This window comes from Homo sapiens, chromosome 15 (assembly GCF_000001405.40).
Source record: "Homo sapiens chromosome 15, GRCh38.p14 Primary Assembly".
Classification (NCBI taxonomy): Eukaryota; Metazoa; Chordata; class Mammalia; order Primates; family Hominidae; genus Homo; species Homo sapiens.
The window spans coordinates 54,319,393-54,335,423 of record NC_000015.10 but is presented as its reverse complement, the minus strand read 5'-3'; the positions used below and the strand labels follow the sequence as shown (position 1 = coordinate 54,335,423).

The following is a 16,031-nucleotide window of genomic DNA, read 5'->3' as shown; positions in this document are numbered from 1 at the left end:
CTCTGCAATGAGAAAAAAGAATAACAGGAGAAGAAAATTTGTTCAAAAGATAATAGGAGGAAATTAATTGGAAAGAAATGTATAGATGACTATTTCAAGGAGTTTTGCTATTAAGGGAAATGAACTGGGGTAGTAGCTATAGAAGAAAGTGATGCCAAGCAGTATTTTGAAGACTGTAAAATCAATAGCACATACATAGGGGAAAGTTGGCAATTCAGGAGAGTGGAGAGGATTGCTGGAACAATATTTTAGTGCACAAGAGAAGACAAAATCAATTGCACCAGTAGAAGAGACCACATTTTCTAAGAAAACAGATGGCTCATCAATACTAAAAAAGAAAGAATATATGGACACATACAAGGAAGTACCTACTGGGGTAGGTGGTGGGAGTATGTGATTGGAGCTTGAGGATGCTCCTCTTTCTTTCCTCCTATTTTTTTTTTCATTGAAATAGGAAGCAAAGTAATCAACTGGTAGTGAGGGTTGGGGAAGAATAGTTACAAGTTTAAGGAGATAGTGTTTTTAAACAAGGAGGCATGGTAGATGGGTAGCACTGTGCTGGCACACCCTACCCTCACTCCCATTCCTCACTCCTCAGTGTCAATGGCAGACATCACTTGTCAATCTAAGTCAACTTGATTGGGTCTCGCCATCATTAGCTGCACATTGTTCCAGTAGCTACTGACAGTAGATTAGAATTGATGTAAATTCTATTTATCCTAATCACCTAGTTAGCCTGATTTTAAACCAAATGAATTTTAATTCAACTTTAAAGAATCTAAATGAACTTTGATATAGTATGGTTTCCCTTTGTGTCTCTCTTTTATTACAAAATGCCATTTTTAGAGGTTCTAGTGAAAAAAATTATGGGCAAATGCAAAGAAAAAAATTGTTGCTATTTAGGAATTTTCTGAATAAGCATCGTAATACTGTCTTTCAAAGAGTGTATATTTTAGCCCACAGCCCGGCAAGTAGTTTCTGAAAATGCTTTACATAAGTTGCACTGCAAGCCAGAACTATGACTGCCGAAAACTCGCAATTAAAGCAGAAATGATATATCTAAAAAGAAATACCTGGTTTGTAAGGCCTAGCCAATTATACCAATAGATAGGTGATCAAATATATTCCTACACAGACATTCCCAGTGCTGAAAATGGAAGTTGCCACAATTGGGGTAAACTTAAAAGAGTCAGCTACTTTCTTGTAGCAAAAAAGTCGGCAAAACATCTAAGTTAAAACTAAAATTAGAAGTGAACTCCATTTCCATTTAACATTCTTTGGAAATTTTTTAAGTGCCACATCCACTTACTAGAGAGCTTTCTCTAAGACAAATTTAACTGAGAACTAAATTAGAGCCAAATGTATCAGAGTATTTTAAGTGTCTAGGATAATCTCTTCTTCACTATACCTTATATTGGAAGATTCATCGAGTTCAGGCAAAGATAGTACAGCTTAATCGATGGAGTTAACACAGTACTTGATCAAGAGGAGGGTAAAGCAAGACTTTACCAGGGGATGAATGTATTCTATGTCACAACAAAACAGTGACAGAAATAAAATGAGATACCTTCATCCTAAAAAAGGTGATACTTGTTAACAGGTCAACAGTTGATTTCAGGTCTTGCAGTCTTTCAGTATTGCTTGCAGGAAAGTTTTCCTGGTTAATTAGGAAACAAAATGGATAAGGTTGTCAGCAGTAAACTTCTAGTGGGAAAATAAACTAAAACTAGCTTCTCATGAAAGAAAATGGAAAGTAAACTGTATACAATTTTAAAAATACTCAAGGTATTCTTAAAATATTTTTGTCATAAAACATTATAGAACGTAAACAATTTGGAAATATTATATTTTTACTCTTGGAAAGCTGCACTCTTCTATTTACACTAACAATGCAATAAATGCAAAACAATATCATTATTACAATGTTATGATGTTATTAATGCTTGCTTCTAAAATAGTCTTGCTACTAAAAGGATTAAGTATAGCATACATAGGAAAAAATTTTCATGATTTTCTCAAGATAACTACTTTTTAAAAAATACTTCGGAAATTATACATGTGCTGCATTTACTTTTAGTCACAAAAAAACTTTAAAAGTTAAAAAAATAAGTTTGCATCATATAGTCTTTCCTGAAATACTATGGATTTTAAAAAAAGGTTTCTTTTAGCGAGGTTTGATGAGAAGCATCATTTAAAAATACAGATGTTTATAATTTTGAAGGAATGAAAAGTTATAATGATAAAATGTTTGAACTAAGAAACAATTTTTACTTTGGTCAATTTCACATGTTAACATGCTTTTCTAAAGAGCCATTAGGAAAACCATCGCTAATTACGAGATATTCATGAACTTGAACAGGGTTAGTGTGCCTATGATGAGGTGGTGAATGAGGTGGCTTCAGGCCCTTGTTGCCCCCAAATATCTCTCTCAATGGCTTAATGGTTGTTCTCTTCTCATTATGTTGGTCCCAGATCCAACATGAAATAACCAACATGAAATAATACCAAATTAAATTTGGTATTATAACTTCCATAAGTATGCAATTAAAGTATCTGTCAATAAAAGACTAATTAAAAATGAATGCATGGGAGATAGATATGTTAAAATAAGAAAAGATGTTTAGGATAAATTATTAAAGAATGTAAGATACAAGAGAGCATCTATTAGTTATTACTATAGACATTTTATAACTAAAATTTGTAACTAAATTTTTATAACTAAGATATTTTGTAACTAAAATTATATGTGTGTATACTTATGCACATATGTACATGAATATATTTGTGGTATGTGTATGTGTTTCCCCAGGAGGTGATATATAGAATTGTTGACAATGAATTCTGGGCAGCTTTGCAGGAACAAATGGTACTCTTGGTATCACGATCCAGGAGGAAAGAGAATGAAGCAGTAAATTAAGTAGGAAGCTCAGAAATTGGGGAAATATCAGCAGAGTATTTCAGTAACAAAGGGTGAGCTTTCAAAATGAGGACTGGGCCATAGTCTACTTCATGAATTAGCTGAGGGTCATTGAATCTGATGGCTATTTTAAAAATTACAAAATTAAAGCTGCAAGTGCATACACAAACACACACACACACACACACACACACACACACAGAGTATTGTTGTAGTCTACGTGGGGCAAAGAATCTGAACAAAAAAGGAGACCTGCTGGATTATTTCTAAGGGTAACAGCACCTGAGATCAATATTTTTATTTTTCTATTACATGATGGGTAATTTTTACAATATGGCAAGAAATTCTCTAGACCAAACAACAGTTTTCTTTTAGGCAAGTAAATTTGTACATACCCTATACTTTGACAGATCAATCCTCAAAGAGTTATGTAACTGGTCCAGTAGTTTTATGAATTTTTCCCTCTGTACAAAGCAAACACAAAATAGGAGAATGGAAATAAATGACCACTCTAAAGACCTCATAATAATTCTGAGTTTTGTCTCTATTTTATAGAAAGGAAGGATCAAATATATCAATGACTTGTCCAAGATCATAAAGTTACTATGTGGCATAGCAGTGATTCAAACTCAGGTCTCTTTGACACCAAATTCATGGTCTTTTCAATAAGTCATACTTCCTCTCTATGATTAATGAGAAATGTGTAACTGTTCTAACAAAGTATCTAGAGACTTGCATTTTGTAGAAAGAGATCAGACAAATAAATTGCCAGTACATTTCTCTATGTGTAATAATTCACAACAATATAATGCGTCAGCAAGAGAAAATGCAACCCATTCTTCTTTTTATTCCTGTACTTCATGCCCCTTCTCCAGACAATATATTACAGTTTTTTACACTTCTACCACCTACGGAAGTGGGAGCAGGTGTTGTTTTTGTCAAAACCAATTGGAAAAAATATTTTCTTTTTGGAAGCAAATGCAGACTTCATATCTGAAAGGATCAATTGCTTTTAAAGGCTGTGTATGATTTAGTGCTAAAATTAGTAGAAACATGCAGCCAAAAAACTTCTGTTGCTTCCACTTGATGCAGTATCAGTGTTGAACTGTCCTCTTAACAGAAGTATTTGAAGATGGTGAGAATAAAGAGCTTTTCTCTTATTAAGTGTGTGGTTAAAGTTGGGTGGATTAAACAAAAACAAAGTCAAAACATAAAAGTCACACATACAAACCTTATAGGTAGACACTCCACTATTCTGAATTCCAGTTTTCTCATCAAAAAATAAAATGGGAGAGGTAAGATTAAATGACATAAAATGCCCCTGCCAACATTAATATTCTGTAAACACCAAATTGCACTTTGGAGGATATTGACAAAAATGAAAGCTTTTCTCAGTAGTTTCACAGAGGAGGTGGATTTATGGGGTATATAACTCTTATGCCTCGAAGTCACTGATCTCGATGGAGTGAGCTGAATATTAACAGGAGGTGACAAATTGTTCCTAAGCTGAAACTCCAATTTTCTGAATAAACTGCCATCATCAGATTTATACATCAGTATAAGAAAGTTTGAGTATCATCTCTGTGTTAACCTCTGTGGAGGCAATAAAGGAGCCTAAGAAATGAGCCCTGCCTTCCAGAAGCATGCAATCTTCTTAGGCAGGTTAAGACCCTTTATCCCAACAAAGCTACAGAAAATACAGATGAGTTGAACGTCTTAGATCTTTCTCTGCCACTCTCCATTATACCTTCCCAGGGGATGAGGCAAGCTATACAGTCCTTTCTTAACTCTCCAACTTCCATGCATTTGGGTTGGTGGCCCTCAATCCAGATAGAAAAGGAGAAGAATCACTACAATAATTAGTTTAGGCCACAGTAAAGTTAATCATTTAGACGATTATCAAAGTGAGTGTGATTCGTGTAACATCTCTGGATGCCTTATCTTATCTCTGTGATTGGCACAAACCATCAAGACAGTTGAAGTGACTGATCAACCATACTGTGGCCCAAATCATCGGCCCTCTTATATTCACTGGGGCAAATGGTGGTGGTTGTCTGCCCAATATCCGTTCTTCCATTGTTCCTTACTAAAAGAATATCATATGTCAAATGTGCCCATATGAAATGCTCACCCTCTCGACCTCTTTTCCTCCAAGGATGACCACATGCCATGGTTTTGGCCAATGAGATGTAGACAGCTTATTAAATCAAATAGACCCAGCTACCATACTACCAATGACTTATTGTTTTGAAAGATTTAAAAAGAGTGCTTGGCAGATAGTGTTTGTTACATTAGTGTTTGCTGTATAATTCTTTGTTAGGTATAGCATTCAGACTTTTCAACTTTTGCCCTCTGTGTTTCTTCCCTTTTCCCACCTAAAACTCTAATAGCCTCCAGAAGATAGAGTGCTTATTTCATGCCCATTAGATGAAAATGGAAAGAACGAATGGAAAAAAAAAAGGATTGCCTACATCCATCCTACCCCATCTGCCCACTCTTTTAAAATATTACAATACTGAGCAGCTATACCAGCTCTGAATTCCCTACCTCTGTGGACTTAGGTTCCATGAGTTGGGGAGCAAAGGGGGAAATCTTATTTAGTTAAATGTATTTCATGAGTTTCTGTTTCATGGAGTTGAAAAGATTTCTGACTGATAAAGTTCACACATTTGGTTTCCCTACCTAGTCTTCAGTGCCTAGCTGGAAAATTTACATTCAAGGAAAATAGAAAACTGTGAAGAAAACTGCTGGGCTTCTTGTCACTGAAAGCCAGAACAACATCAGATGATGTGAAATTAAAAGTATGCTGCTGATTGAATTTTCATAGAGATTCTTTAAACAGCAGGACAGCTTGAACTTTAATTTTATTTACAACATTTCTATTTAACTAGAGTGAGATTCCCTTTGCAGAGCAGAGCAAGCCTACTGCCTGTAGGGTGTGATTTGTGGAATAACGAAAGACTGGGTGATTAAAAAATGTTTCCCCAAGGGACATGGCACAATATCTAAAACTGCCACATTATTCAGTTTTTTTATTAAATAAGGGCCACATATGTCTAGCAGGGGGCAAATCAATAATAAAAATAATAATAAATACTATAATAGGTTCAAAAATACAGTTACAAGGAATAAGATCCAGTGTTTGGTAGCACAATAGGGCAACTATAGTTAACAATAATTGGTTGTGTATTTCAAAATAACTAAAAGAGTGGAATTGGAATGTTCCCAACATGAAGAAATGATAAATGCTTGAGATGATCGATATTCCAGTTATTCCGATTTTATCATTACATATTGTATGCATGTATCAAAATTTATCTTGTACCCCATAAATATGTACAACTATTACGTATCCAATTAGAAATTTAAATAAATTTTTAAAATAAATAAAAGGTAAATCCAAGCAAAAAAAAAAAAAAAAAAAACTTGGTTTAATTAGTTGACCAGAATAACTAGACCAGGGATTGGCAAACTATCTACAAAGGGCTAGTTAGTAAATATTTTTCACTTTGCCAACCCTGTCTCAACTATTCAGTCTGACACTATAGCACAGTAGCTGCCATAGACAATATGTAAACTAATAGGCATGATTATTTTCCAGTGAAACTTGATTTATGGATGTGGAAATTTGAATTTTAGATAGTTTTAATGTTTCACAAAATAACAGTCTTTAAAATTTTTTTTCAACATTAGAAAATATTAAAAAATATTCTTAGCTTATGGGCCTTACAAAACCAGTTGGTGAGTTAGTGGACTGCATTTGGCCCATGGGCAGGGGGAAGAGGTAGTTGCTCCTCGGAGTGTGCACCTTCAGGAAGTTCCCCCCAGGATTTGGGGAACCCTGGAAGGAAAAGCTCTTGTAAGGAAGGGGTATGATAACCTCTGCATCATCCTCAGCATCTCTCATTATTTTCTTTCTTTCTTTCTCAAAGTCTGGCTTCAACAGCAGGGATGAATTTAACCAGAAGCTAATGATGCTTAAGCTCTTCAGCCCTCACCTTCTTTAGCACCCCTGGGAGGTGCTAGCTATGTATTCATGCTATCTTAGATTTTTGTAAAATTTTCAGGAATAAGATAAAAATAATTCAGAACACGACAAGCAAATTGTAACAGTTTTTTTCCAGATCATACCAAAAACAGCAATTCATTAAGAAAGACTTTTCAAACAGAAGTAATGCATAGGCAATTTTGGTAATTTTTAAATAATTCAATTAGTGTTAAACATGAACATATTGGACATATATTTATAGCTCTTATTGATTTGAGATTAATTCTGATACCAACAGAAATATCATACTATTATGAAAGGCCACTAAAATGATGCTTTCAATGACAAAATAATTAATAAATTTCATCAATTCAAAGTATATTTAAAGAGTCGCTTCACAGGAAAACTTGAAAAGCATTGAAATGTTATTGTTCACTGATCAAGACACGCTTAGCCTTCCCCTCAGCCTGGTTAAACTTTAGATAGGCTTCTTCCTGACTCTAGGTCTCGACCTCCCTTTTCTTAAAGCATTTTATTTAGAAAAGTTGTAACAGTAAATTCTTTTTCTGCCCCTTCACATGGAAATATTTTTTAAAGCCTCTTGCCAGTTTCATAATCCAAGAATGCCTTTCTGAAAGACTTGGGAGCCTTCCCTTTGAAATGTAATCATCAAGGAGAGAGCACTCCTACCTCCCACCCTCTTTGGGAAGATAGGACCCTAACTTCCATGCCTGTAATTAGCAAACAAAGATGGCCTAATCGCAGAAGAAAAAATTACAGACTCAAAATTACTCAGTGCACTGGTTACATCCCATTGATCAACCTCCCCACTATCATCCTTCAATACTTTCTCCTTATTTCAGCCCTGCCTTTCATTTCAGTGGAGTTGAGCTCTAATTGAGCTCTGGCCTCTCTTCCCTATTGCAATAGTCTTGAATAAAGTTTGCCTTGCCTGTTTAACTTTGTCAGCTGTAATTTTTGCTTTTACATCACATATGAAAAAAATAATTGGTGTTTTCCCAAATTTTATGAAAATCACTAAAACGCATGTGGCATTGTGAAAGTGAAATAAACTCTTCTAAAGCGTCCATTAAAAAATATGTCAACTCAGCTAAGTAAAAAAAAAAATTATAAAAATAATATTTCAATTTTTTTGTCATATGACGTGATCAAAGAAAATGCAGCCAAAAATGTGTAGAAAGAAAATATTATAGAGGTTGGTCAGTCAATAAAAATATCACTTATACTTGGTTATATATATTGAGCATGTATATACTCAAGTAAATAAACAGCTCAAAAATATTAATTTTACAATTGATTTATTTGATATTTGTATTTCAAGATAATTCACTAAATAAATTTCCTAAAGACACCTTCAAAATTAAAATATTGACTGCCTCCCACCTCATGGAATTTTGTTACTTTTCAACTCCTGATCTACCCATGAGTGCGTTCAACACACATAGAGACACTTTATCTAGTAAAGTTCTTTGTCTGGACTCCAAATAACATTTATACTCAGTGATGCGCTGGTAAAGTGGCTCTCTGAAAGCAAAAAGCCTTGATTTTTAGCATTTGCTAACTTTCATGTTGTAAATACTTTTAATATGTCCAATTTCAAGGATGGCTGTGTTTAACAAGCTTGCAATATTCCTGAAAATTTACTGATCAGTTCTCATGAGCAGGTACCAGCCAGTTGTAGCATACCACTGTTCTACAATCAATTTTCAACAATCTACTCCCTGAGTTACCTTTTGGACCTGAGACTTCCCTTGCAAAATGTTAACTGAAAGGTGCTATTAATATGTTCCTCCCACAATCCTCTGTCTCTGCCTGTTTTCTCTCTTCCACTCTCTCTGTCCCTTTCCCCACTTCTCCCCTCCTTCTCTCTTGCTATCCATCATGCTTCTCATGGTTCCACTTACCAAAAACTAGAGCTAATGGCAAATCACTTTACCTTCACCCCATTATCTTTATATGAATTTCCTTACCTTCCCATGGCCTCTTTTCTGCAAAATTTCAGCCTAGAGTCAATCCAACCATCAGCTTTATCTCCTAGTAGATAAGCATCAGGATGCTGACACACTCTAAGAAAGTCTCACTGTCACAAGAATTGTGACAACACATTTATAGTGCCCAACAGCAAATGACACTTTCAGTTTACTAGGAATTTCTTTTACATGTCCCTGAAACATTCTTTTTTGTATTCCCCTCAGTAGCTTATCCAAACTTTTACCAACCCCCTTCCCCTCTGCAACCATTTCACAGCCCATTGTTTTGTAAATGAGCAACACTTGTCTTTCCTGACAACTTTAAAGAAGGATTAAAAAATAAGGTACAACTACCCCAACTTTTCACTTCTATATCAAAAGCTTAGTGTTCTCTGCAAGGACTCTCACACTATTTCCTTGAATTTCAGAACAGAGTTTGTCCTTTCTCATTCTAAAGGCTAGCCTCTCCTTCTGCCCTCATGACTGCACTTCCTTCGTTTCCTCTGAGATAGTACTTATAGTCACTTATTCTCCCATCTGAGAAATTCACAACCTCACTCTTGCAACTAACTCCTTTCCTAACACTCTATAAACATGTTTATATTTACCTTATTAAATAGTTTAAAAATCCCTACCCAAGCAGATAATAAAAATAAAGTCTCTTTTTATATGGAAAAACCTTCTTACCCTTGCCCAATCTCTCTTTTTATCTTCTGATTTAAGTTCCTTGAAAGAATAGTCTGTTTCCTCATCCAATTTCACGCTTTCTTTCAGAATGTTGTTATAAAGTTAATACAGACTTAAGGTATTTTATAAAAAATTTTAGACATCATTCTCAGCAAAGTAACACAAGAACAGAAAAGCAAACACCACATGTTCTCACTCACGAGTGGGAGGTGAACAATGAGAACATATGGATGCAGGGAGGGGAACATCACACACCGGGGCCTGTCGAGGGGTGAGGGGCTGGGGGAGGGATAGCATTAGGAGAAACACCTAATGTAAATGATGAGTTGGCGGGTGCAGCAAACCAACATGGCACAAGTATACCTATGTAACAAAACTGCACGTTGTGCACATGTACCCTGGAACTTAAAGTAAAATAATAACAAAAAGACTGTTGTATAAAGATTCATACAAAACAAAACCAACAAAATGTCAGCTATAACCCAACTAGGTGGCTATGTCTTTGGTATTTGACCACATTTCCTTCCAGTCTTATCTCTAAACCTGTATGTGTGTGTGTAAGTGTGTGTATGTATGTGTGTGTGTGCCTTCAATGTTGGAATTAAATTGCATATAGAGTTTTTTAGCATACTTTTTTCATTTATTATTATCATGGGCACTGCTCAATTATTGAACCTCTTCCATAAAAACTCGATTTTTAATGACTGTATCATATTTATGGAATAATTGAGCTTTAATTTATATAACTGTGCTTCTATGCCAGGGATATTCAATCTTTTGGCTTCCATGAGCCACAATAGAAAAAGAAGAATTGTCTTGGGCCACACATGAAATACGCTAACACTAATGATAGCTGATGAGGAATAAAAAAAATCATGCATAAGTCTCACAATGTTTTAAGAAAGTTTACGAATTTGTATTGGGCTATATTCAAAGCCACTCTGGGCTGCATGTGGCCCACGGGCTGTGGGTTGGACAAGCTTGTTATATGCCATTCACTGAACAAACTTCGTGAAATCAGGCTTCAACCTCAATTGCTTCACTGACCAATGACATTCTACTTGCCAAATTCAATGGGCTAATTTCTTTCTCCATTTTACTTGAACTCTCTATGACAGTTAATTATATGATATACTACCCTTTTCCCAAAATAGTTTACCTTACCTTTTACAGTTATCACTTTTTTTTTAGAGACAGGGTCTCATTCTGTTGCCCAGGCTGGAGTGCAATGGTGCGATAAAATCACATTTTAAAAAAAAATCACTGTCATCCAATTGGTCTAGCCATTTTCCTAGGTAAACTTTGCTTGCATCTCTTCTGTACACCCAAGGGTTCTGTCCTTTTCACTTTATTTTTGAACATATTTCATCCACATCATGATTTCAAATAAGATTTATACTTGAAAAGGTCTAAATGTAAAATGGTTTTCTTTTCTTAAAGATTTGTTTTACAATTCTCATAGGTAAGAAAGCTTTTTCTACTGGTTTGGAGTCTCAAAATGTGTGGGCTATGCACCTTTGAGAAGGATCAAGAAGGGAGCATATAATTGTCAATGTGTCCCAGATGACAGAATCAGCTTTAACAGTTAGGTGAATAAAAACCTGAGGTTCCAATGTAGAGGCAGGAGATATACTTAGGTATATTTGACTCATCAAATGGCATTATTTTTGATAGCTAGAAAAATATAGTCAAATTTATATACCAAATCACCAACTTTTCTGATGTAGTTTGAAGAAACATTTCTCTTTCTTTTGGCCCTATTCTATAATAAGTTATTGGATTTACAAAAGGAAGTTTGTTATAACTACACTGCCACTGAAATACTAAAATGTACTGAAATCAATCTGCTGTCTCTTCTTTGGGTCAACATGAAGTAAAGGAGCATGTTATCTAATTTTCCTCTAGGTAGTTTTTATGGTGGATATTAATCACTTAAACACATCTTTCTCAGAGGGAGAAAGGCTCAATGTTCCATGATGTTGGCTTTTTCTTCACAATATACACAGACGGAATATTAGAAGCAAAACAATTTCATAGTGCAGCATGCTTTATATTATAGGTAAAATCCCAAGACAGCAAGTGCTGTTACTAAGATGAGGTTTTTATAACAAAGCTGTTCTATGATCTGGTATTTGGTAACAACAGGATTTTGTTGAACTGGCTAGGGAACGTTCTTTGGTTCCAGCTTCTGCAAGAGTCAATCTGTCTAACAAAAGTAGCTGATACTGTAGGTTATACTGTAGGTAAGGCAGGAGAGACAAAATTCTCATATTTTATACACTGACACTTTTAGCTTTTATCAACTGGCTTGCCATCTTTTATCTCATTTTATCATTATTTTAAATTTGAGAAACATGTTAAAGTAAGAATTATCTTCTTCATTGAGCATGTTGAGGAACTGAGGCTTAGACGACTAAACTGACTTGCTAAATTTCAACAAAAAGTGAAACTGCATAACTCCTAACCCAAAGAGTAGTCTCCTTTACTGGCATTTTATTTGATTTGGCATTAAATAACAATTATACTTTCCTTTGATTATTCTAATTCACTTCATACACCTCGCATGCATTTCTCTTTCAGAGGAAAAGGACAGAAAAAGAGTAAACACAGGAGCACATCTTTTTCCCTATTGGGTTTTCACTCTTTTATTTGCTGTGTCTCAACTGTTTCTTTTCTATGACACATAACTCAAAATTTGATTTCTAAACAATATACTCTGTAACAAAAATATATTCAGTAAACTAAATTGGAAGTGCAGTGGAAACAACATTGTGCCATGAAAAATCATCTTCCCACAACTGATCTTAGTTTCCTCCATGAAAAAAAAAAAAAGAGAACAAAAAACCTGTCTCACAGGATTACTGAACAGCGCTACTGCCTACCCATTTGCCCTGACCAGAAACCTGGGAATATTTCCAGGCATCTTCTCCTTCCCTCCCTGTCCATGTCCCCAAACATACCAAATGCTATTGAGGCTGCTGATTTTATGCCCTGAAAACCTTTGGTATCTATCCTCTCTTCTCCATCTCCACTCATTTTTAATTCTGACTCTTACCACTTTACTAGAAATACTCTTAGTTTATATCCTATTTCCAGTCTTGCCAATTTCAGTTACAGTATACTTGCAGAGAAAGAGTTACACTGATGGATGCAACAGACGAATTCTTGGGGCTCCTTTGATTCCCTGAATTTCTACTTTTCAATGCATTCTTGATGCCTTTGCATATGTCAGATGGACAGCCTTAATTAGGCACAGATTGTTTTTTGTAGGCTCCTTAAACACATGCCATGTTTTACTTAGAGGATGTGCCACTATCCATCAGTACCAGAAGGAACCAATAGGAAGTGCAAATGGAGCCTAATATGTTCCAGAGATGGCAGCCAAGCTCACACTTACTAGGGAACTATATCTACAAGACAGTGAATCTGAAATGTTGAATACCAAATTTGCATATGTTGAGAATTCCCTATAAAGTCCCAGCATTCTCTTATAAAATGTATGTTTTTCCCTCACTGAAAAAGATCCTTTAAGATATGAAGATTCAATCTAATGAAAATTCTTATTGATTGTCAAAGTTAATTTACTAAAAATGTTTCAAATGAACTTTGAGCTGGAACCCATTACGCTATTCCCTAAAATGTCCTTTCTGCAATAAGATTCCAGGAATATCTTAAGTTCAAAGTCTCTTGAAATGTAACTCCCATAAGCTGCTAGGAATTTTAAAGTTTAAAAAATTATACTTACACCAAAGTTGGTAGCAGCAAATCGATCTGAGGCAGAAACCTGTATGTTTGTTGAAACTGTTGTGTGAGCATAAAAAGCATTTATATTAGCCAGCAAGGTGCTCATGACGGCAGGGACACCGGGGCACATGTATTTAGAAGACAGACATGAAAAGTGCCTGAAAGACAAAAAACATAAAGTGTTTTTAAGACAGAAATTAATTAATTCATACAACAACAGAGCTTCTAACATCAGCAATTAATTCCACAGCTACATCTATGAAAAGGAGAGAAAACTGCACAATCTCTAATTGAAAGAAAAACAATTTTGGCCTTCTGAAAATTTCCCATTCACAAATGTAAAGTGCCTTAATTAGAGTGTAATTTGCCCTTTTTGCCCATGGACGCTGCCGAGAAAGCATTGTTAAAGTCTCCCTTGCCACTGTTGTCATGTCGAAGTCAGTTTTTGAAAGAGCCTGAACAGCTGCAGAAGCTCTGCATCAGAGGGTTAAGCTTTGAAAAAAGTTAATGTGAGTCTGAGGGGTGACGGGGAACACTCACAGGCTATGTGGTAATGAGAAACCCAAATACCCAGCACTCCAGGGGCTTTGGGTTTGTCACATATGCCACTGTGGAGGAGGTGGATGTAGCCATGAACGCAAGGCCGCAAAGGCAGATGCAAGAGTTGTGGAAACAAAGAGAGCTGTCTCAAGAGAAGATTCTCAAAGACCAGGTACCCACTTAAATTTGAAAAAGATCTTGGTGGGTGGCATTAAAGAAGACATTGAAGGACATCACCCAAGAGATTATTTTGAACAGTACAGGGAAATTGAAGTGATTGAAATCATAGCTGAGGCAGTGGCAAGAAAAGGGGTCTTGCTTGTGTAACCTTTGATGACCATGGCTCCATAAATAAGGCTGTCATTCAGAAACACCTTACTGTGAATGGCCACAACTGTGAAGTAAGAAAAGCCCTGTCAGAGCAAGAGATGGCTAGTGCCTCACCCAGTTGAAGAGGTCAAAGTGGTCCTAAAAGCTTTGGTGGTGGCCATGGAGGCGGTTTCGGGGGAATAACAACTTTGGTCATGGAGGAAACGTTAGTGACTGTGTGGCTTTGGTGGCAGCTGTGGTGGTAGTGGATATGGTGGCAGTGGGGATGAATATAATGGATTTGGTAATAATGGAAGCAGTTTCGGAAGTAGTGGAAGCTACAACAATTTTGGCAATGATAGGATTCAATCTTCAAATTTTGGATGAATGAAGGGTAGAAACTTTGGAGGCAGAAGCTCTAGTTCCTGTGGTCATGGAGGCCAATACTTTGCCAACCAGGAAACCAAGGTGGTCATGGTGGTTCCAGTAGCAGCAGTAGCTATGGCAGTGGCAGAAGATCTTAATTACTGCCAGGAAACAAAGTTTAGCAGGAGAAGAGAGCCAGAGAAGTGACAAGGAAGCTATGGGTTACAACACAGTTGTGAATTCAGCTGGGCACAGTGGTGACAGGGCTTGCTGCTGTCAAAGAAGATGTGTTTTAGACAATACTCATGTGTATGGGCCAAAATCTCAAGGATTATATTTGTGACCAATTGTATAACACGTTATTTTAGTTTCTGTTTTGTGTAAAGCATTCCAGTGAACGTTTTTAATGCAGATATTTTTTGCACCCTTGATGTTGATTGCTAAATGTAATAGTTTGATCATGATGCGGAATAAATGTGTCTTTAAAAAAAAGAACGTAATTTGCCACAAAGATGTGTAAACTCAACTTTGAATGTTGCATGTATGCACCAAAAGTACAATTTCCAGTGGAATTTAGCACCATCGGAAAGCAACTGCGCAGGAGTTTCCCTACTTCCTCAACCCTGCTTCTACTTATTTTGGTTCCTGAAATGTCATATTTTCACCAAAATGTTGTTTTGCATTTGTATGCCTCTCACAGTTGTAAAGTAGCAAGACACCCTCCTCTCAATATACATTGAATTAATAAGTCAATTTAACCTCTGACTTGAGTCCAGTTTGTATGATTTTTCAGAAAGAAATATCTTCTGTAAGCAATTCTCTTTTCTAAGCACTTTGTTACAGACAAGATTTAATTAGGCAAACAGATGAATAGTGAGAACAGATTGAATAATGCCAGCTTTATGCTTAAAGATCATTTCTTTTAAACCTTGAATAATGGTATCATTTATACCCATCAGAAGCATCAAGGGTCCAAGTTTGTTACTTCTCTCAAGGAAACCTTTTTCATTTGAACTACAACAAAAGACTTGAAAATGGAAAGCACAGCTTATGATAAAAGTGAAAGATAAAATATACATGGAGGAAAGAAAATTTCACTATATAATGTGATCCTATTTTGCTCTCATATCTTACTATGCCACCAAAGCATCTAGACATTTCTGAATTTTGTATTATTGAACACATACATAAATAGCTGCCCTGAGTGGCACTCACAAAAAATAAATGATGGTCCTGAAAACTGTGGCTTTTCTTATATCTTAACCAGGCACCTTGCTACCTACTTTGTCATAATACTGATTAACAAAAAAGGTTAAATCTTTAAAGGTGCATCTTTAAGAATCACGAATAAAAATTTATGCTATGTGAGTTCCATGATTTGTGCAAATTAACCCTGGATTTCGATTATTAATGACTGCTTCTTTAAGGAAATGATAAGTGTTATGACTTTATTATACACTGAATTGATTATAATTAATATGTATTAAGA

General features: G+C 35.7%; 1 protein-coding gene and 1 pseudogene across 7 annotated transcripts in view, besides 1 other annotated feature; one reads left to right on the top strand and one right to left on the bottom strand.

The window, feature by feature from the left end:
- Positions 1-16,031, bottom strand: part of UNC13C (unc-13 homolog C) — a 795,839-nt gene that overhangs the window by 298,017 nt on the left and 481,791 nt on the right. For all 7 annotated transcript variants that reach the window (XM_047432538.1, XM_017022220.2, XM_017022221.2 and 4 more), the window contains 3 exons: positions 13,329-13,485; positions 3,313-3,381; positions 1,568-1,657 (listed from right to left, as the gene is read on the bottom strand). In XM_047432538.1, the coding sequence (XP_047288494.1) occupies positions 1,568-1,657; positions 3,313-3,381; positions 13,329-13,485 (316 nt within the window). The remainder of the gene's footprint in view (positions 1-1,567; positions 1,658-3,312; positions 3,382-13,328; positions 13,486-16,031) is intronic.
- Positions 855-1,024: an enhancer, noted in NCBI's record as "experimental_39975 CRE fragment used in MPRA reporter constructs". NCBI's record gives its function as "activates a minimal promoter by MPRAs in K562 erythroleukemia cells, with activity observed for both the introgressed and non-introgressed 15:54626683 variant alleles {active_cell/tissue: K562}" and the evidence as "EXISTENCE:reporter gene assay evidence [ECO:0000049][PMID:34662402]".
- Positions 13,692-14,886, top strand: HNRNPA1P74 (heterogeneous nuclear ribonucleoprotein A1 pseudogene 74; annotated as a pseudogene).